The following is a 22,507-nucleotide window of genomic DNA, read 5'->3' on the forward strand; positions in this document are numbered from 1 at the left end:
AACACCCTACCAGTGCCGACTCAAAGGGTTGTTGTAAGGGTTAAATGATTTAGAACAGTACCGTAGACAGAAGAAGCAACAATAAATGTTAGCTATAACTGTAACAGGTTGTTAGGGTGCAGTCACTGAGCTTAGTATGGGTCATGTTGAGTTGGGTATCTGAAGGGCACTGAGCAGCTACAAGCATCAGCTCCATTTTCAGATCCTTGGATCCAAATACCAGTTCTATCTGCCAGCAGATTCACCTCTATGGATATCAACTTCCTAATCTTTCACAATAATAAGAGTAAATCACTCACAGTGTTTTTATAAAGATTAAATGAGAATATGCAAATAAAATACTAGGCACAATGCCTAGCACATGGCAAGCCCTTCAAAAACAACAACTGTTATTACTGTCACGTGTGTGTGTGTTTACGTATATAATCATATTATGTTTGTTAGGCAATCTACTAATCCAGCAGGGAGACAATAGGCTGAAGATTTGGGAGTTATTTATAAATATGATAGTTCCAAGAAAATAAAAAGCCAATGAGAATCCTGTGAGCCTACAATATAAAGTAAAATCAGGGAGATAGGTGAAAAACTGGGAGATAGAAGCATTACAGAAGCAAACCCAAGTTTTAAAGGAGATGTTGCCTATATACTGTGTGGCATCAAAAGGGGCTGGAGGTTTTGAAGAAAGTCCACTGAATCTGCAAGTAGGAAGTCACGTGTGTCAAAGCTGTTTATAGAGGGGCAGAAACTTAGCAGGCTGGGGCTAAGGAATGAATGGAAGGTGACACCTGTAGAAGGGACATGTAGACAATTCTTTACAGAATTCTTCCAACTGTCTTCCCATCACCCCCAAAGGCAGTGACATGAGACAGTAACTCTGAGGGACAAAAACACTGTGGAAGGATTATGCTTTTTGTTTTAAGATTGTTTCCACGCCGCTATCACCTTTCCCTTAAAAAAAAAATCATCATCTACACAGCAACTAGTGTAATTTTCTAAAATTCAAATGTGATGGTGTCGTTTCTTCGCTTAAAATTCTTCACTAGCTCCCAATCGCACATTGAAAAAAATATCAAGTCCTTACCAGTGAGGTCCAAGGCCATTTATGAAATGTCCCCTTCACACATCCACTGTGTTCCAGACATGTGAAACTACCTGCAGGCCTTCACGTGTGCCAAGTTCTCTCTTGCTTTTGTATCATTACACACATATCCCCTCCCCTGAAAAATGTGCTTCCTCCTTTGTCTCTCTAACAAACTCCTCACTATCCTTTAAAGGCAAATGATATCTTCTCTAGAGAGCATTCTCACCTTGAAGGGCATTTAAGAACTTCTCTTCTGTGCTTCCAGGGTGCCTTAATCTTTGTAGCTCCCTCTACCTCAACCTTGAATTTTCACCCTGGTAAAATGTTCTGTAACTCCCACCAAACTGCTAGCTTTGGAGGACCAAGCCAATGCTCTCTTATAGTTATGTATCTGCCACTATGAAAGAAAAGAGAGGAGAAGAAGAGAGAAGCGAAGTGAAGAGAAGCAAAAGCAAAGCGAGTAAAAAAGACTCAGGCTTGAGCTCTAGTGTCACCACTTACTGATGTGTGGCCTTGGGCAAGCTACTTAATTTCTAATCCTTGGTTTTTCCTTGTCTGGGAATTTAAAATGGCACCTATTTTAGTACTGTAAGGAGAAGAGAAAATACCAAAAAGCAAAGTAATCAGTACATTGCAATAAAATTACTTTATGTCCATTATTATTGTATTAAAAATAAGTAAATAATTACAAATAAAATATATAAATCATATACTTATTTACTATTAACAGCTTAATACACAACTAAACTAATAAATACTAATATTATGTAATGATAACACAGCAAATACAGTACAGAAATCATCTCTAATTTTTTTTTTTTGGAGACAGAGTCTCGCTCTGTTGCCCAGGTTGGAGTGCAGTGGCACAATCTCAGCTCACTGCTGCCTCCGCCTCCTGGGTTCAAGCAATTCACCTGCCTCAGCCTCCCTGGTAGCTGGGACTACAGGTGTGGGCCATCACACCCAGCTAATTTTTGTATTTTTAGTAGAGATGGGGTTTCACCAACATTGGCCAGGCTGATACTGAACTCCTGACCTCAAGTGATCCACCCACTTTAGCCTCCCAAAGTGCTAGGATTACAGGCGTGACCCACTGCGCTCAGCCATCTCTAAATCTTAATATGTACTACAGCAAACATGATAGAATTAACGGCTAATATTTGATTAGTAACCTCTGCAAAAAATCAGATAGGACTTTAAAAGACACCTCTGATTCTTATATATTCCATTATTTTACAACTTCTCCCTCACAAACCCTTTCACAGGAGCGTCTAAGAGATATTACACAGGAAAATTAAATGGATTACATTTCATCTCATTTTATTTTACAGACAACCTGATTATCAGCCAATATGTGGCTCAATATCATTGGGAGAAAAAACTGAGAGGCTTGATAATTCGCTCCTTAACCAAATGTTATCGCAAGGGAAAAAAAGACAAACAAAAATCCTGTATACAAAATTCAATGAATAAATCAACAAGATTCTTCATAAGTAAACAAGATTCTAACTTCATAAATATTATTCCTCATAAACAAGATTCTAGGTATGGTTTAAAAACACTTTTGGTATTTGAATTTCTTTCAAGCATTCTTTAAAAAATTTCCCAGAGTACTCATAAGAAGCAATCTTCCTCCTAACGCCCAAGCAGTAACAGCAACTGTTAATGCAACAGGTGAAAAAATCGTTGGCATCTCTTTCTCAAAAGAAAGGGGAAAGCTTTATTTTCACAATAGATGTTTTTACAGGAATGCTAAACGCAGCACAACCTTTGATAAGGATTCTTAAATGGTCTACATTTTTGTTCTATTTTTATGCATCTCGAAACAACCCTATTAATATAATTTGGCTCTTATAAATATAACAAATTGATCACCTTTTCTCAGACATAATTAAGAAGGCTTTGACAGGTTGAAGATTCAGCCCCAGGTTGACACTCTAAAAGGAAATAAACACACTCAGTACACATCTGATTTAAAAGCATTTAAATAAGAATCGGGAGTAGGAAAGGCAAAGATTGAATTCTCTATCAGAGCACCATGCTCAACTCTCCGGGGACACGGAGACCAGTGAAAGAAGCGCAAAAGTACGGTGAGGACTCTCAGAAATCGCATTCCCCCGGGACACCCGGCCCACGCTCGTCGGTCACTACGCTATCAGCCTCCGCGCTCTCGGACTCCAGCAGCCCCGACACGCCGCCCAGGAGAGGGCCGGGCAGGCCGAGCACCCCGGCCCGCGCTCCCGCCACCAGCGCACCCATGATGTACTCACGGAGAGGGGTACGCAGAACCGCCCGTCCCGCCGGAGCCGACACCCGGAGCAGTGCAAATCAACTCCCCCAGCCTAGCGGCGCGTGCGCGAAGTGAGGCGGCCACGCAGCCACCTAACCCGCCAGCGACCCGTGTCCTGAAAGCAAGCCGCGGCTCTGTGCCGCAGTGCGGACAGCGCGCCGCCTGCTGACGTCAGCGCCTGCCTACGCCGCCGTTCCCATGGCGACCGATGCGTCCCGCGCTCTAGGCGAAGACCGCGGCCCCGTCCCCGCGCCTCCACCGCCTTCTTCCAGGAGGAGGGGCCGTGCGGCGCCTGCCCGGGGGCCCTCAGGCCGCAGGCGGGCGCGAGCTTCAGGGAACTTAGGGGGCTCCCGCCTCCCCGGCCACGCGAGCGGGAACAGTCTCCTCCACTCGGAGCGGTAAGGGACCCGGAAATGCGCGGGTGCCCCTACAGAGTCTTGAGTTTTCCCCGCCCTCACCTCCGAAAATGCTCTTTTCGCCTTAGAATTGTAGCTAGCGCAGGGAAAAACTGACTGGGCAAAGGAAAACTGGGGAGGCTGTCATGGAAGCCGCCCAGAATAAGAAAATGAATGAATGAGGCAAAGAAACAGATTTGTCACTCCCCACGCGATCGCGCCCACAAAAGAAAACATGGTTTTAAGGCGTGGAAAATGAAGTTGTACTACAGACAAAATTTTAAGAAAAAATTATCCACTGTTCCTTTAGAGCTATCTCCCTGTGTGTGAAAAACAAAACAAAAGTTAAAACGCCATCCTTTTCTACACCTAATGCTCCCTCCCACTTTTCTGATTTCTGCCACAGGCGCCATCTTCAGCTCTGAGTCACCAGGGCTGGAAAAATACTAGATGCGCTACTCGTGGACTCGTGAATACACTCGTGAATACAGGCCATTTCCTGTACCTACAGCCACCCGCTGTAAGCTGTTGCTTCATTTGTACAGTAAGAGTTTATGGAGGCCAGCTTTTCCATTCTTACTGACATTGCCACACCTTACAAACTATATGTCTTGTGCTTCCCTAAATCCTGTGAGGAAGCAACGAGAAAGATTACTAATCCAATGCGTACCGAACTGAGCTGTTCAACTTTCCGTTCTAAACATACTCTCCTAGATTTCTATCTTGCTGTAAGCCACCACAATCCTCCCAGTGTTTTAGTAAGAACAGTAGAGTATCCTAAATGCATCTTATGCCAAAGCATATCCATTCTCTCTTTTTAACTTCCTCAGATGGGCCCTTTACCAGTTCTCTGACTCCAGTTTGACTCTTAAATTCTCCACACTGCTATCAGAATGACCTGACTAAAAATGTAAATCGGATAATGGCACTCTCCTGCTGAAAATTTTTGAAAGGCAATCTGTAAGAGAAAATGATTACTTTGCCTAGGATACAAGATTCTCCATCTCCCTGACTAGTTTCATCTCTCGTTAGCTTCTTGTTCCAATTTTATGCAATATTGAATCATGTGTACCATGCAGTTTTATGCAACATTGAATTATGTGTACCATGAAAAACAATCCATAGCCTTTCACGCCCCGTCCTTACTCATATTGTCCTCTCTTCCTGAAAATTCCTCCTTTTACACTCCTGCATCACAGCCAAATGTTGTCCATCCTTTGAATCTTAAGCAGGTTGACTGACTCCTTCAAACACTCCTACTCCCTATTAGACTTCGGATACTCATTCTATATATTAGACTTTGGATGCTCATTCTATAGTTTCATAGTTTACTTTGTATTTTCTCTATCCCCAGCATCTACCACAGTGTCTATGAAATAGTTGGCATTTCATGAACATTTGTTGAATGAATAATGGATAACATATATTGAGCTCCTTCTAGGAGGTATGCATTGTAGGTGTTTTATGTACTTTTCATCTGTCCTCACAACTGCATTTAAGTACCTGCTTTTCCAAAGGGAAGTTATAACTCTGACTGCTCATTCTTAGTAGGGTGTTAGTTTCAGAATACAATCCCCAGACTAGCGGATGTGTAACCCTGTTATCATCTCTTGCTTCTCCATTTACAGTAGCATGCAGAGGTGCAGTGGGGTGGGGGAGGTCAGGGAATATTTCATAGCAGAAGTGACATTTAAGTAAAGACCAAAATAATGTGTAGAGTTGTCCAGGTTAGGAAGGGTTTCCAGGTAGAAGAAGGTGGCGTATAGTGTTCACTACAAGAAAGTTTGGTATAATACAAGAACTGGAAGAAAAAAAAAAAAAGTTCAAGTTGGCTAACTAAAAGGTAGAGAATGAGACTAGGGGCTTTTGGAGGAGACAAAACAAGAGAGTTAAACAAGCTATGAAGAGACCCAGACAGTATTGGTCAGTGGAATACCACTATAGAATTTTATGGAGTGAAATTTTCAAATTTTAATATCATAAAGATAACTCTGGCTGCAGGGTGGAGAACAGACAGGAAGGAAGCAAATCTAGATCTGGGAATACCATTTAAGATGCCGTTGCTGTAAGCCATGTAAGAGACAAAGGTGGCATGGTCAAGGCTAAGAAAAATCAGAATGGAGAGAAATGGACCAATTTGAGAAATTTTTAGGAGGTAAAAATGTCAGGACTTAGTGATTGATTGGATGGAAGAGTGAATGATAAGAAATAATAAAAAACGATGACCAGCTGTTTTGCCTTCCCCTTGGCAAGTAAAGAGGTGGCAAGCATGAAAGGGGAGTGAGGAAATAAATATGTTGGGTCTAATGGGAGCCAGGTTTCTCACTGACAGAGAAGGACGTTACAAATTGAGAGAGGAAGAATTCCACAGTGACCTTTGTGGTGATGTTGAATTGGAATTGAATATGTCAGTGTCAACTCATAGTTTTCAATATATACATAAACATATGTAAAAATAAATATAGAGGAAAGTATGTCTGTATGTGTGTGCGTATCTATCTATTATGCTCTTCCTAGCTCTATCTGCTGAAAGGGTTTCAGAGTAATGGTATACTAGAAGCAATGAGCACATGTGCCTAGATCTTGGTTTCTGAACAGTATTATTCACTAAAAGTAACTGGGTCCCTTGGAGAAATGGTTGATTTTAGAACAGGAGCCTGGAAAATTCTTGTTGCACCAGAAGTTAAGGAAGTTAATACAGAATGAAGAAACATATCAAAAGGTCACAGAAGCCAGCTTGAAGGAGCCACCACTGGCCACATCTGGGTCAATCTGAGCACCAATATAATGTTAATGGATTATAGTCCGCTAAATAAAATAGGAATATTTGAGCCCATACTAAAATGAATAAATGATTTTTTTGAAAAATCAGGATAAAGAAAAGCTCTGCCTTACATAAAAATGCCAACTAAATGTAATGAATGTAGACAGTGTTATATGTAGAAACATCATTATTTGGCAGTCATGATAGTAACAGTTGATTCAGACTAGAATCATCAGTGTATGCTAAAACTAGAGGGTGAGAGTATTAAGAGACATATAATATTTATATAGTCTCAAAGTATCTCTCCAGCAAATACTTATTAATTACACAGAGAAAAATTAGAAAACTTGACAGTGTAGAAATCTGGCACTGGTGAGCGAAGTTACCATCAGCAGTCATGAGACAAATCAGCATCGTGTATGTCCTGGTTAGAGGCACTTAGAATACACTTCTGTGACATTCCTGCCAAAAATGTGTAATCCGAATCAATCGTGAGGAAAAAATCAGACAACCCAAATGTCCCAAATTGAGGGACATTCTACAAAATAATAGACCTGTACTCTTCAAAGATCAAGGTCATGAAAGACAAAGGAACAACTAAAGAACGTTTTTAGATTGAAGGAGAATTAAGATACATGACAATTAAGTGGAATACATGATTCTGAATTGAATCCTTTTGCTATAAGGATATTATTGGGACAACTAACAATTTGAATGGGGTCTCTGGATTAGATGGTAGTATTTTAACAATATTAATTTCCTGATTTTGATGACTATAGTGACATAGATATTTTTGGTTTTAGAAAATACATATTGAAGTATTAAAGGTGATGAGGCTTCATATCTGCAACCTATTCAAATGGTTCAGGAAAAAAGTATACATAAATACTGTAAATAAATATAAACATAAATAATATACATAAAGAAAATGATAAAGCAAATGTTAACAGGGAATTTGGGCGAAAGCAGAAGTTCTTTATACTATTCTTGCAATTTTTCTGTAAGTTTATAATTATTTTAAAACTATAAAAGAAGTTTGAAAGGTGCCGAGGTTTCTGGCTCAGGTAACTGGGTGGAGAATGGCTAATCAGTTAACGACAAAAAATCAGGAAGAGCAAGCATGGAGGAAAAGATGTTTAGTTGCAATGGGATGTATGGAGTGGGATGTTCAGCAGGCAGTTGAGTATATACTAAACATATTAATGAGCCCCATTCAAACTGAATAAAGCAGATATGTTGCTTTAGCTCTCATTAGTCGAGAGTGCAAGACCAAGGGCACTCCGCTATCCTAGGAGAGGCAAACAATTAAGAGTGGTAGTATGGTAATAATTCTAAAAATTGGCTGAGTATCCATGAAAAAAATTGTGTGTATATATATATATATACACACACATATATGTATAAACATATATACACACATATATGTATAAATATATATCCACATATATGTATATATATACACACATATATGTATATATACACACATATATGTATAAATATATATACACATATATGTGTATGTGTGTGTGTGTGTGTATATATATATGTATGTATATAAATTGAACCGTTTAGGAATAAAATAGATTTAGGGTATTCGACACATTTAATACATAATGAATAGTGAATTTCTTGAATAATATAATGCCTAAATGTGACTGATATGCAAAATATTTAAATCCCTTACAGGATGTGCATTTACCAATCAGAACAGATGTTGGCTTTACTGCTTGTATTAGTTTTCTGTATTAGTTTGCTTGTATTAGTTTGCTGGGGCAGCCATAACAAAGTACCACAGAAATTTATATTCTCACAATTCTGGGGGCTAGAAGACTGAGATAAAGATGTCTGCAGGGTTGGTTTCTTCTAAGGACTCTCTTGTTGGCTTGTAGATGGTTGTTGTCTCCCTGTGTCTTCACCTGCACTTCCCTCTGTACCTGCCCGTATCTTAATCTCTTCTTATAAGGACAGAGTCATATTGGATTAGGGCTCACCCTAATGACCTCCTTTTAACTTAATTACCTCTTTAGAGACTCTGTCTTCAAATACAGGCACATTCTGAGGTACTTTAAGGTTAGAACTTCAACATATGCATTTGGAACTGGGGCATAACTGAGTCCATGACACTATTGGAGAGGGTTCTGGAGCCATAACAGATGGAATGAATGGGCCTTGTTTGGATTCTAATTTAAATAAACCAACTATAGAAAAACATGTTTTAGGCAATCAGATTTTTTGTTATGGGCTAAATATTTAGAAGATGTTAAGAAATGTTTATTAATTTCATTAGGTAAAATAATGTTGGTGTGGTTATGTAGAGTATGACTTACGTGCACAGAACAGAATGATAAGGTGTCCAGGATTTGCTTTAAAATATTCTAGATTTTTTTAAAAGGTGAGAGGAAATGACACATGTATATCTAAATTTTGATGGTTGTTGAAGCTGGCTGGTAGGTACCTAGTATTTCATTATACTTTTTCCTTTGTGTGTTTGGAAATTTTTATAATAAGCAGGAAAAATAAAAGTAAGAATATATGTATTATAGATAATTTGAAATATGTAGAATCATGAAAAAAAGGAAAAAATACTCAATACCACTACCCAAGAGAATCTAAATTAACTTTTTTGACAAATTTCGTTTCAGTCTGTTTTCCATGCGTATTTTAATTTTGGTCATGTTGTGTGTAAAATGTTTATTTCTGCTTACTTGAATGAACATTATGTTGCAATTTCATTTCCATGCTATTACAATAGTGCCCCCTTAACCATGGTTTTGCTTTCTGAGGTTTCACTCAACAAGCTTGGTTTGAAAATTTTTAGAGAGAAAATAAGAGATTACATTTACATAATAACTATTAATACAGTATATTGTTATAAAAACTTTATATTGTTATTAGTTATTGCTGTTAATCTCTTACTGGGCCTAATTTATAAATTAAACTTTATGAGAGGTGTGAAAGTTGATTATAGAAATTGGGTCATTCTTGTTGTACCCAACTAAATCAGAGTGAAGGGCCCAGGGGAAAAAGCATTTGGGGCATATAGCATCTGCTCCAAGAATTAAATTTTCCACAAGCCCAGCTACTGAAACTGCCTGTTGTAATCTGAAATCAGTTTTATCTGATAGCTAATGAAATAACCTGCTGTGACACTAAGATTAGTTTTACCCACTGCCATCACTCGCCAATCAGAGCTCGCCAGCTCCCCAAATGTTACCCATTGTTTCTTTGCAAAACAATGGGTAACATTTTTCCTTTTTATAAAACCTCCAACCTGATCTTTGTTTTTCAGACATACTGAAGACCACCCATTCTGTGTGTTTGCCTGGAAATGCAATTCTCATTTCCCAAATAAAATGTTTGAAATGTGGAAATTTGACTCTATGTTTTATTTGACTTTGAGAAAGGCATGCAAGTATAGTAAATACAGGCTTTGCTACTACCTGTAGTTTCAGACATCCACTGGGGATCTTGGAACATATCCCATGCAGATAAGAAGGAGATGCTGTATATATCACCACTTAATCATCACTGGAAATTCTAACTTTGTTAGTAATGTTCTTATGTGCACGTGGAAAAATTTCAAACAATCGTTCAGATATTTATAATGTGGTAACCGAAAGTCAGCCGTGTTTTTAATCACTGATCAGTCTTCTATACATTCTTTCATACTTCCATTCATACATATACTAAATATACTAAATTATAAAGATAACTTCTTACCATAGATTTTGTCCTGTCATCTTGTTTTTGTCCTTTATCAAGTATTATTATTTCTAAAAGGCTTTTTATGTCAGTAACATATATCTACCCCATTCATTTTAATGGCTTTATGCTATATCACTTCTAATCCAAAGTGTTTTTAAGCAATTATAGTGAAAGTGTCAAAAGGTGATATGGTGGCTTTTAAAAAATAAGATACTTTTCTTATAAGTCTCTCATATTATTATTTATTCCTCAGCATTTTATAGATTTTTGGTGCTATTTTGAATGCATCCAATTCTTATTACATTTTCTAACCGGTGATTGCACATTTTCCTGCTTTTCCTCTTTCTAGGGCTCCTTTACTAGTTCATGCCTATCACCTTGACCTCTTGATATTGGAATGTCCCAGAGGTATGTTCCTGGACTTCTCTATCTACACGTACTCACTCAGTGATTTCTTACAGTTCTATAGTCCCACTGTCATGTAGACTACTCCCAAATATATCCCTTCTGCCCATTATTCTTCCTTGAACTTCAGACTCATAAATCTAACTGTATATTACATGTCTCCACTTAGATGTCCGACATATTCTCAAACTTAACTTTTCTAACACTGAATTCCTCATCTGCCTCCTCAAATCCCCACTTTCTCCATCTCAAGCAATGACAACTCCATTCTTCCAGTTACTCAAGCCAAACACCAAATACATTGGAGTAACTGTTAAATCAAGCTTAGCCTAAAACTACCTCCTTACATATTTTAAATTCAGCCTAAATGTTTCTTTGTACATCTTAAACTATAACAAGTAGAAGTGTAACCAGATGTAGCCTACACTTGGGCCAATCACCAAGTTTTGGCCAATCAAATGTCGTCAACTATTCAAACCATGTTTAAATAAGGCAAACACAAAGCTGTAACCAATCCAGCTGGTTCTGTACCTCACTTCCATTTTCTGTGCCTCACTCCTTTTTCTGTCCATAAATCTTCCAGCACATGGCTGCGCTGGAGTCTCCGAGCCTACTCTGTCTGGGAAGGCTGTCTGATTTGCAAATCATTCACTGCTCAATTAAATTCCTTTAAATTTAATTCAGTTAAAGTTTTTCTTTTATCATAACCTTTGACCTTTCTCCTTTTCTTATACCCCATATCCAACCTATCAGATTACTATAGGTTCGAACCCAAATCCTATGAAACAGAGGATATGGTTATAATTTTGAGGGAAGATTTTTTTTTTCTCTACCTGAACTTTAGCCCCTACAAACAAACTTCCTTGTTTATCTTTGCTGCTGTAATCTTTTAAGGGTTCCACTTTTATGCAAACATCTTAGTTCTCACACTGAGCAAGGCCTTGAATCCTATGCTTTGGGAGGCCATTGCATTCTAAGACTACATTCCTGGCATCAGCAAGTGCCCCTCTAGTAAAAATGCCCTCAGCCCCTACTTTCCACTCTTGTTTTAGTTCTTTCTTCTCTTTGGCCCCCGAGGAATTCAATGATGCAATTTAGTCAGCATTTCTAGCTGGTTTTCAGGTTTTTTTTTTTTTTTTCAGAGTATCTTTGTGACATATTGGGAAAAGAGGAATTCCTTCTCTCTCAACTGTTAATACATGTTGAAAGGAATTTTATGAGTAATAGTAATGGCTTTGTAATAGTGATTGTTACTCAAATTTAGCAGATGACTTACTGAAGTAATTAAACCTTCCTTATACCCTTTCTGTGGGTGGCATGCCACGAAAACTCGATCAACCTGTATACATGGGTTAGGTAGAACCCACTGAGCTTTCCATTATGTATAAAGCTGTCTGTAGATTTACTGGCTGTGTATAAATACCATTTTATTAGGAAAATGTTTTGGTTTAGGTCTCAGAAGGTCCCATGAAAAACAGTAACTTCTGCAGAGACTAAGGGGAAGAGTTAAAAAATAGTAATAATTTAAAAATCCATTTCAGCATATGATTAATTCAGTTGTCTAAAGCAATGAGCACTAGATGGCAGCATATCAATGTGTATCGTTACCTGTGCCTGAAAGACCTCATTTTAAGGGTGTGTAAGGTCTTATTGCTGTTTTACCATGCACCAGTTTGCTATCCTGAACTATTTACTTTACTGTTTAATCTGTTGGTTTGAACTTATAATAGTTGATGAGATGTATTTGACACCAGGTTTGAAAATAGAGTTTCTAGATTAATAAATATACAGGATGGTGCCGGTACCACCAGTCTGTCTAGCAAAATATGCAAGAATTCAGAGCCCTTTCCTGTCATTAAAGGCCACCCTCCAGAGAGCTTATCTTTCATCTATGATAAGAGGTCTTCTGGTTGGACAAAAAGCACATTTTGGACACTCATTCCTGTCTTGAGTTTCAAACCTTTTGTGGCCGCTAATGTTTAACTTTTCATCTTACTATTCAAATGGCATCTCTTTACTAGATTGGAAACCACTTTCGTATCTCTTACCAAGTGTGAAAATAGGGGCCTCCCAAACTCTGTTGTGGGTAGTTACCAGGTCTTCTTCTCTAAAGGACTCAGGTCAGATATCTCTGTCACAGATGAGAAAGGAATTTCCTTCTTATCACATTTGATTGTATAATTAGTATTTAAAATGTAAAAAAGAAAAAATGACATAACTTTAATGTATAATTTAACTGGATGGCTCCATTTTTCTCTTGTTAACTCAGATCATTTATAATTTTTTTTCTTTTAAAATGTTTAGAATAAATTATTAAAGTACATGTTAATAATACAGGAGGGGGCTGGGCACAGTGGCTCATGCCTGTAATCCCAGCACTTTGGGAGGCTAAAGCGGGCGGATCACTTGAGGCCAGGAGTTCGAGACCAGCCTGGCCAACATGGTGAAACCCCGTCTCTACAAAAGTACAAAAAGTTAGCTGGGCGTGGTGGTGTGCGTCTGTAATCCCAGCTACTCGGGAGGCTGAGGTGGGAGGATCGCTTGAACCCAGGAGGCAGAGGTTGCAGTGAGCCAAGATTGTGCCACTGTACTCTAGCCTGGGTGACGGAGCAAGACCCTGTCTCAAAATAATAATAATAATAATAATAATAATAAAAAAAAATAGATAAATAAAGGGCTTACAAGGAAAAATTCCAAATCCCTGCTTCACCTATTCCTTGCCACAGTACTGTTCCTGAGACCAAATTGGCTTAAATAGCTTCTGTTTTTGTTTCTTCTGATGATTACCCATCTCTTACTACTATTTCTTGATTCATCAGTTTTAAATATTGTCTTAATCTATTGTGGAGAGAGATGGGCAGTGATTTAACTCATTAGCATTGCCTTCTACTGTCCCTATCCATCTCTTCCCAATAAAGTCATAGAAAGAGGCACAGCAGTATAATAGATAAGAGCACAGACTCAAGTCCTACTTGCACCACTTGCTGGCTGTATAATCTTAGGCAAGTTACTCAAGCTCTCTGAGCCTCTTTTTTTTCTCATGTGTAATATGGGGATAATAATAGTCAATTCCTTGGAGGATTATTGTGAGGATAAATGTGTCAATAAATTTAAAGCACTAAACAAGTGTTACTATTACTATTACTACATTTAATTTCTCTTTGCATGTTTAAATAACATACTTGCCCCTTTGTTTTTGAGCCCTGTATGTATTATCTCTTGATACCTCCCATCGTAAGAAGATATTGACAACTTTATTCTTCCCTTCACTCCCGCCCTCTTCTGCATCTTAATCTCACCTTTTATTCCATCTCTAACTGCTTTTCTATTCTCTGGGAGATTTTTTTAAACTTAATCTTCTAACCATATATTGAAAAATTTACTTTAGCAATAACATTTATAATTTCTGAGAGTTTTATTTCTAATGTTTAATTTTATAGAATTTAAAGATTCAGTATTTTCTTGACTATTGTGTTAGAGTTCAGTCAAAGAGCAAAAATGACCACACCCATAATTTGGATAGGGAAGATAACTGTGAACTAAGTAAAGGATGTATTAACTACTAAGAGAGAACTGTAAAATATACCGAGGTAGTAGCTGCAAAAAGTACCTGCTACTCCTAGGATTGAGGAAAAATTGAATAAGGAAGGAAACTGGAATCTCCAGAGGCAGAGATTCAGGCCTGAGTGGGCATGGTTGCCGCAGGAATGCCCCTCTGCTGCTGTGAGAAACACCGGAGGGACCCTTGCATGCCTGACAAGAGGAAAAGAACACCAGAACAAAAATTGCCTCTTGATCATGGCTTATGATCCTTTGGATGTGCTGTGGAATTTGGTTTGCTTGTCCTTGGTTGAGGATTTTTGCATCTATGTTCAACAGGGATTTGGGCCTTGTCATTTCTTTTCTTGTAATGTCCTTGTTTGGCTTTGATATCATGCTAATGCTAGCCTTGTGAATGAGTTTGCAAGTGTTCCCTCAGCTTCAATTTTTTGGAAGAGTTTGACAAGAGTTGCTGTTACAGTAATTACCAGTGAAGTGAAAGAGCTTTGCGCTTTTTGTTGTTGTTGTTAGGAGGCTCTTGATTACCGATTCAATTCCCATACTCATTATTGGTCTGTCAGATTTTCTGTTTCTTCATAATTCAGTCTAGGTAGGTTGTATGTTTCTAGGAATTTATCTCTGTCTTCCAGTTTATCCAATTTGTTGGCATTTAATTGTTCATAGTAGTCTCTTAGAATCCTTTGTATTTCTGTGGTGTTAAGTTTTAATATCTCTTCTTTCATTTACAATTTTATGTATCTGAGTCTTCTCACTTTTTCCCTCAGTTTAAGTCTTGTCAATTTTGTTTATCTTTTCAAAAGATAAGCAACTCTGAGTTTTGTTAATAATTTCTATTTCTTTTCTAGTGTCTATTTTACTTGTTTCTGCTCTAATCTTTATTGTTTCCTAATTTCTAGTAATTTTGGGCTTAGTTTGTTCTTTTTCTAGTTTCTTGAGGTGTAAAGTCAGATTGCTTATTTGAGATCTTTCTTTTTTCTAAATTATTATTTATTATTATTATTATTATTATTATTATTATACTTTAAGTTTTAGGGTACATGTGCACAATGTGCAGGTTAGTTACATACGTATACATGTGCCATGTTGGTGTGCTGCACCCATTAACTCGTCATTTAGCATTAGGTGTATCTCCTAATGCTGTCCCTCCCCCCTCCCCCCAGCCCACAACAGTCCCCAGAGTGTGATGTTCCCCTTCCTGTGTCCATGTGTTCTCATTGTTCAATTCCCATCTATGAGTGAGAACATGCAGTGTTTGGTTTTTTGTCCTTGAGATAGTTTACTGAGAATGATGATTTCCAATTTCATCCATGATGTCCCTACAAAGGACATGAACTCATCATTTTTTATGGCTGCATAGTATTCCATGGTGTATATGTGCCACATTTTCTTAATCCAGTCTATCATTGTTGGACATTTGGGTTGGTTCCAAGTCTTTGCTATTGTGAATAGTGCCGCAATAAGCATACATGTGAATGTATCTTTATAGCAGCATGATTTATAGTCCTTTGGGTATATACCCAGTAATGGGATGGCTGGGTCAAATGGTATTTCTAGTTCTAGATCCCTGAGGAATCGCCACACTGACTTCCACAATGATTGAACTAGTGTACAGTCCCACCAACAGTGTAAAAGTGTTCCTATTTCTCCACATCCTCTCCAGCACCTGTTGTTTCCTGACTTTTTAATGATTGCCATTCTAAGTGGTGTGAGATGGTGTCTCATTGTGGTTTTGATTTGCATTTCTCTGATGGCCAGTGATGATGAGCATTTTTTCATGTGTCTTTTGGCTGCATAAATGTCTTCTTTTGAGAAGTGTCTGTTCATATCCTTTGCCCACTTTTTGATGGGGTTGTTTGTTTTTTTCTTGTAAATTTGTTTGAGTTCATTGTAGATTCTGGATATTAGCCCTTTGTCAGATGAGTAGGTTGCGAAAATTTTCTCCCATTTCGTAGGTTGCCTGTTCACTCTGATGGTAGTTTCTTTTGCTGTGCAGAAGCTCTTTAGTTTAATTAGATCCCATTTGTCAATTTTGGCTTTTGTCGCCATTGCTTTTGGTGTTTTAGACATGAAGTCCTTGCCCATGCCTGTGTCCTGAATGGTAATGCCTAGGTTTTCTTCTAGGGTTTTTATGGTTTTAGGTCTAACATTTAAGTCTTTAATCCATCTTGAATTAATTTTTGTATAAGGTGTAAGGAAGGGATCCAGTTTCAGCTTTCTACATATGGCTAGCCAGTTTTCCCAGCACCATTGATTATATAGGGAATCCTTTCCTCATTGTTTGTTTTTCTCAGGTTTGTCAAAGATCAGATAGTTGTAAATATGCGGCATTATTTCAGAGGACTCTGTTCTGTTCCATTGATCTATATCTCTGTTTTGGTACCAGTACCATGCTGTTTGGTTACTGTAGCCTTGTAGTATAGTTTGAAGTCAGGTAGCGTGATGCCTCCAGCTTTGTTCTTTTGGCTTAGGATTGACTTGGTGATGCAGGCTCTTTTTTGGTTCCATATGTACTTTAAAGTAGTTTTTTTCCAATTCTGTGAAGAAAGTCATTGGTAGCTTGATGGGGATGGCATTGAATCTATAAATTACGTTGGGCAGTATGGCCATTTTCACGATATTGATTCTTCCTACCCATGAGCATGGAATGTTCTTCCATTTGTTTGTATCCTCTTTTATTTCCTTGAGCAGTGGTTTGTAGTTCTCCTTGAAGAGGTCCTTCACATCCCTTGTAAGTTGGATTCCTAGGTATTTTATTCTCTTTGAAGCAATTGTGAATGGGAGTTCACTCATGATTTGGCTCTCTGTTTGTCTGTTATTGGTGTATAAGAATGCTTGTGATTTTTGTATATTGATTTTGTATCCTGAGACTTTGCTGAAGTTGCTTATCAGCTTAAGGAGATTTTGGGCTGAGACAATGGGGTTTTCTAGATATACAATCATGTCGTCTGCAAACAGGGACAATTTGACTTCCTCTTTTCCTAATTGAATACCCTTTATTTCCTTCTCCTGCCTAATTGCCCTGGCCAGAACTTCCAACAGTATGTTGAATAGGAGTGGTGAGAGAGGGCATCCCTGTCTTGTGCCAGTTTTCAAAGGGAATGCTTCCAGTTTTTGCCCATTCAGTATGATATTGGCTGTGGGTCTGTCATAGATAGCTCTTATTATTTTGAGATACGTCCCATCAATACCTAATTTATTGAGAGTTTTTAACAATCCGAGTCTCTGATAAAACAGACTTTAAACCAACAAAGATCAAAAGAGACAAAGAAGGCCATTACATAATGGTAAAGGGATCAATTCAACAAGAAGAGCTAACTCTCCTAAATATATATGCACCCAATACAGAAGCACCCAGATTCATAAAGCAAGTCCTGAGTGACCTGCAAAGAGACTTAGACTCCCACACAATAATAGTGGGAGACTTTAACACCCCACTGTCAACATTAGACAGATCAACGAGACAGAAAGTTAACAAGGATTCCCAGGAATTGAACTCAGCTCTGCACCAAGCGGACCTAATAGACATCTACAGAACTCTCCACCCCGAATCAACAGAATATGCATTTTTTTCAGCACCACACCACACCTATTCCAAACTTGACCACATAGTTGGAAGTAAAGCTCTCCTCAGCAAATGTAAAAGAACAGAAATTATAACAAACTGTCTCTCAGACCACAGTGCAATCAAACTAGAACTCAGGATTAAGAAACTCACTCCAAACTGCTCAACTACATGTAAACTGAACAACCTGCTCCTGAATGACTACTGGGTACATAACGAAATGAAGGCGGAAATAAAGATGCCTTTTGAAACCAACGAGAACAAAAACACAACATACCAGAATCTTTGGGACACATTCAAAGCAGTGTGTAGAGGGAAATTTACAGCACTTAATGCCCACAAGAGAAAGCAGGAAAGATCCAAAATTGACACCCTAACATCACAATTAAAAGAACTAGAAAGCAAGAGCAAACACATTCAAAAGCTAGCAGAAGGCAAGAAATAACTAAAATCAGAGCAGAACTGAAGGAAATAGCAGCAAAAAAAAAAACCCTTCAAAAAATTAATGAATTCAGGAGCTGGTTTTTCGAAAGGATCAACAAAATTGATAGACCGCTAGCAAGACTAATAAAGAAAAAAAGAGAGAAGAATCAAATAGATGCAATAAAAAATGATAAAGGGGATATCACCACCGATCCCACAGAAATACAAACTATCATCAGAGAATACTACAAACACCTCTATGCAAATAAACTAGAAAATCTAGAAGAAATGGATAAAGTCCTCCACACATACACTCTCCCAAGACTAAACCAGGAAGAAGTTGAATCTCTGAATAGACCAATAACAGGCTCTGAAATTGTGGCAATAATCAATAGCTTACCAACCAAAAGGAGTCCAGGACCAGATGGATTCACAGCCGAATTCTACCAGAGGTACAAGGAGGAACTGGTACCATTCCTTCTGAAACTATTCCAATCAATAGAAAAAGAGGGAATCCTCCCTAACTCATTTTATGAGGCCAGCATCATCCTGATACCAAAGCCGGGCAGAGACACGACCAAAAAAGAGAATTTTAGACCAATATCCTTGAAGGACATTGATGCAAAAATCCTCAATAAAATACTGGCAAACGCAATCCAGCAGCACATCGAAAAGCTTATCCACCATGATCAAGTGGGCTTCATCCCTGGGATGCAAGGCTGGTTCAATATATGAAAATCAATAAATGTAATCCAGCATATAAACAGAACCAAAGACAAAAACCACATGATTATCTCAATAGATGCAGAAAAGGCCTTTGACAAAATTCTAAATTATTATTAAAGCAGGCTTTATCTCTATAAACTTCTCTCCTAAAACTAATTTTGCAGCATCTCATAAGTTTTGGTATGCTGTGTTTTCATTTTCATTTGTCTCAAGTTTTTAAAATTTCTTTTTTGATGTCTTCTTTGACCTATTGGTTGTTCAAGGGTTTGTTGTTAACCTAAATGTCTACTGACAGATGAATGGATAAAGAAAATGTGGTCTATACATACGATGGAATATTACTCAGCCTTAAAAAAGAAGGAAATCCTGCCATTTGTGACAACATGGATAGACCTAGAGGGCATTATGCTGTGAAATAAGCCAGACACAGAAAGACAAATATGATCTCATTTATGTATGGAATTTAAAATAGTCAAACTCATAAAAGCAAAGATTAGAACAGTGGTTTCCAGGGACTAGGGGAAGGGGGAAGTGGGGAGGTGATGATTAAAGAACATAAAGTTTCAGTTATGCAAAATAAATAAGTTCTGAAGATCTACTGTGCAGCGTAGTGCCTATAGCTAAAAACACTGTATTATATACTACAAATTTGCTAAGGGGGTAGATCTTATGTTAAGTGTCCTTAGAACAAAAAAAAAAGGAGTGGAGGGCAGAAGAAATTTTCCAAGGTGATGAATATATTTATGGCTTTGATGGTGGTGATGGTTTCACAAGTATATATTTATTCTCAGACTCACTGAGTTTTATACATTATATATGTATAGCTTTTTATATATCAATCATACCTCAATAAAGTAGTTTGAAATAAAATTAAAAACACCCCCTCCAATTCTGACCTCAGTGTCCAACCTTGCAGTTTCTTCTCCCAGTGACCTCTATTAACAGAGCCTACATGGAACCAGCCGGCAAAGACAAGTTCCACTGTCACAACTAGAGAAAAGAGGATGGGTTTGGAATTGAAAGGTAATAGATTATTAACTGGCATAACTATCTGTGAAAATATTCAATAAATAGACTGTTTCCTTCAAATCCTTGAATCATTTCAACTTTCTCAGTGGACTTTTTAATCTTGGTTTATCTTTACTGGCCTCCCTTTAATTCTGGAGCCTTTAAAAAGTGTCCAGGGTTCCTTAGTTACTTGTTAAAAATAAGGGAATGAAAAGTTGATTGGTTGTGGGCTGGGCTTGTCCATTGATCAACTTTCCTTTAGGGTGTTTGGATGGGAAACAAACATACTGACTGCCCGGCTTTTGTCCATAACATGCAGTTTGTATAGAGAAGAATCTTCTGCCTTTTTGCTAGAGTGGTAAATCCCTGGGTTCCCACTTCTTGGGGTAAGGGAGTTGGGGGGCAATTTTAACCAACACTAATTTTCAATTAATACCTTCATTTTCTACTATATGCTTCCAATTGGTGTTTTCTGAGCTTCTCTGTATTTCTGCAAGGCCAATTTACTCAGCTTCCATAGAAACCATTTGCATTAATTTCTTGTGGCTACCTGTAACACATTGCCACAAACTTAGCAGCCTTTGGAACAATAGAAATGTATTCTTTCACAGATCTGGAGGCCAGAAGTCAAAAAAATCAAGGTGTCAGCAGCCTAGAGTTTTTGACTTCTGGCCTCCACACCTGTGCAGCCCTCCCTTCAGAGGCTCGGCAGGGAATATGTTCCTTGCCTTGACCAGCTTTTGGCAGCCGTTGACATTCCTCAGCTGGCAGCTGTGTCACTCCAAATCTCCGCCTTTGTCTTCACAGGCCCTTCTCCTTGTCTATGTAATCTGCTCCCTGCCTCACTGTTAATAAGGACAGTTATTGTTGAATTTAGGGCTGCCCAGAAAATCCAGAGTGATCTTCTCACCTCAAGACCCTTGACTTAATGATATCTGCAAGACTCTTTCCAAGTAAGGTAACATTCACAGGCTGAGGAATGAAGACATGGACATATCTCTTTGATTACCACCATTCAACTCACTACACCACTCTTCTAACTGCTTAATCTCTTTAGGAAATTTGATGACCTTTCTTGTTTGCTAATGGCCTGCTTTCTGTCCTTTTTATTCTTTATTGATTTTGTGTATTTCTCTCTCTTGCTCTTTCTCTCTCTCTTTCTCCATATATATGGAGAAACACACACACACATACACATATAAAGTATATATAACAACAAATATATATACATACACACATATATATAAAATATACATAACAACAAATATAAAATATGTGTGTATATATGTAAATATATATAATAATTGTGTATGTGAATGTGTGTGTGTGTGTGTATGTATCCTTTATAACCACTTACTGGGTTATTAGGAATAAAATAATATAAATGTGTGTGGTTAGTCCACAATCTTGACTTTCACATATATAGTTTATTTCAAAAGAATTTTTACTAGGTAATCTCTGAATAAAATCAAATTAAGCTAAAGTCTGGGAAAGTACAGAACAAATAAGTTAGGTTATGTAAAAGAGCTTAATTTAATTAGCAGTTTATGTATCTCTCCTCTCTCTTGCTCTCTCTCTCTCTCTCTAGCTCTCGCCTCTTAATATTTTTCAACCTGTTCTGTCATGATTCCACAAATATTCAAGTCCTTCATGTTTCCAGGGTAACAGTAAGTATTCGGCAGTTTATCTGACACCTTCCATTTAAGATAGGAAAAAAATAATAGAAAGAAAATGTCATTAATGTATGCAAGGCTGACCATTATGACATTTGGCTGTCTGTTATCTTTACAAATACGTTCTCTTCTTTCCCATGTTTCTGGTTGCAACTTTCTGACCAGTGATAGGAATAGGTGGCATATATGCTACCCACTTCTCCAACTTGCTCTTGTCCGTGATTACTAATTGGTTATATAATTCATTTTCGGTAAGCCTGGATATAGGTTCAAAATTATTTTCTATACAATATTAAGGAGGCATAACAATTTATTGGAGCTGGCATGTAAATTGAAAATTGCTTGCTGTTTATGCTCCAAACTTTCTACCTCACAGATCTCATGACTCGAATATATTTTACCACTACAGTTTTCTCCCATAGTTATAATTTTGTCATTGCTTCTGCTCTAACCAAGCAGTTAGAGAAGGCAGTACAATATAGTCAAAAGAGCACTAGATTGGGTGCAAAAAAGCTTGAGTTTTTGTTCTATATTAATTACTTGTGTTATAGTGGATAAATTATTTATCCTTCTAGATCTCAGTTTTCTTGCTAAGGCAATAAGGCAATTGGACTATGGTAATTCCTAAGATACTTAACAACTCTAAAAACTTTTAATATCCAGCAGCCAACTAGATATTTCCACTTAAACGTTACATCATTACCCAAAATTCAACCCATCAAAAAATCTTAATTCAATGCCCTAAAAACATCTTTGCCCCTTAGGTTTGGTATTTCTCGTACTTTGCACTCTAAATTCAAAATCTTTTAGTCATGTTTACTTCTCATCTTTTATTTACCTTCTATAGTTTATCTATTACCAAGTACTATAAATTCTTCCTTAAAAAGGCCTTTGGCTCTATCCATTACTTTATA

At 37.8% G+C, this 22,507-nt stretch overlaps 1 protein-coding gene and 1 long non-coding RNA gene across 28 annotated transcripts in view, besides 2 other annotated features; one reads left to right on the top strand and one right to left on the bottom strand.

The window, feature by feature from the left end:
* Nucleotides 1–3,509, bottom strand: part of AHI1 (Abelson helper integration site 1) — a 214,209-nt gene extending 210,700 nt beyond the window's left edge. For 10 of the 23 annotated variants that reach the window (XR_001743480.3, XR_007059277.1, XR_007059278.1 and 7 more), the window contains exons 1-3: nt 3,352–3,509; nt 2,957–3,018; nt 1,583–1,667 (exon numbers count right to left, since the gene is read on the bottom strand). The gene's annotated coding sequence lies outside the window, so the exon portion shown is untranslated. Of the gene's footprint in view, nt 1–1,307; nt 1,479–1,582; nt 1,668–2,956; nt 3,019–3,351 lie in introns of all 23 variants that reach the window. The other 13 variants (XR_007059276.1, XM_047418943.1, NM_001134830.2 and 10 more) reach the window with 5 other exon arrangements.
* Nucleotides 3,220–3,279: a silencer, noted in NCBI's record as "silent region_17569". NCBI's record gives its function as "represses an Ori minimal core promoter by ATAC-STARR-seq in GM12878 lymphoblastoid cells {active_cell/tissue: GM12878}" and the evidence as "EXISTENCE:reporter gene assay evidence [ECO:0000049][PMID:35858748]".
* Nucleotides 3,570–22,507, top strand: part of AHI1-DT (AHI1 divergent transcript) — a 218,255-nt gene continuing 199,317 nt past the window's right edge. For 3 of the 5 annotated variants that reach the window (NR_152842.1, NR_152844.1, NR_152843.1), the window contains exons 1-2: nt 3,570–3,769; nt 4,173–4,286. This is a non-coding gene — a long non-coding RNA (AHI1 divergent transcript). The remainder of the gene's footprint in view (nt 3,770–4,172; nt 4,287–22,507) is intronic. The other 2 variants (NR_152845.1, NR_026805.1) reach the window with 1 other exon arrangement.
* Nucleotides 3,630–3,849: a silencer, noted in NCBI's record as "silent region_17570". NCBI's record gives its function as "represses an Ori minimal core promoter by ATAC-STARR-seq in GM12878 lymphoblastoid cells {active_cell/tissue: GM12878}" and the evidence as "EXISTENCE:reporter gene assay evidence [ECO:0000049][PMID:35858748]".

Source organism: Homo sapiens, chromosome 6 (assembly GCF_000001405.40).
Source record: "Homo sapiens chromosome 6, GRCh38.p14 Primary Assembly".
NCBI lineage: Eukaryota > Metazoa > Chordata > Mammalia > Primates > Hominidae > Homo > Homo sapiens.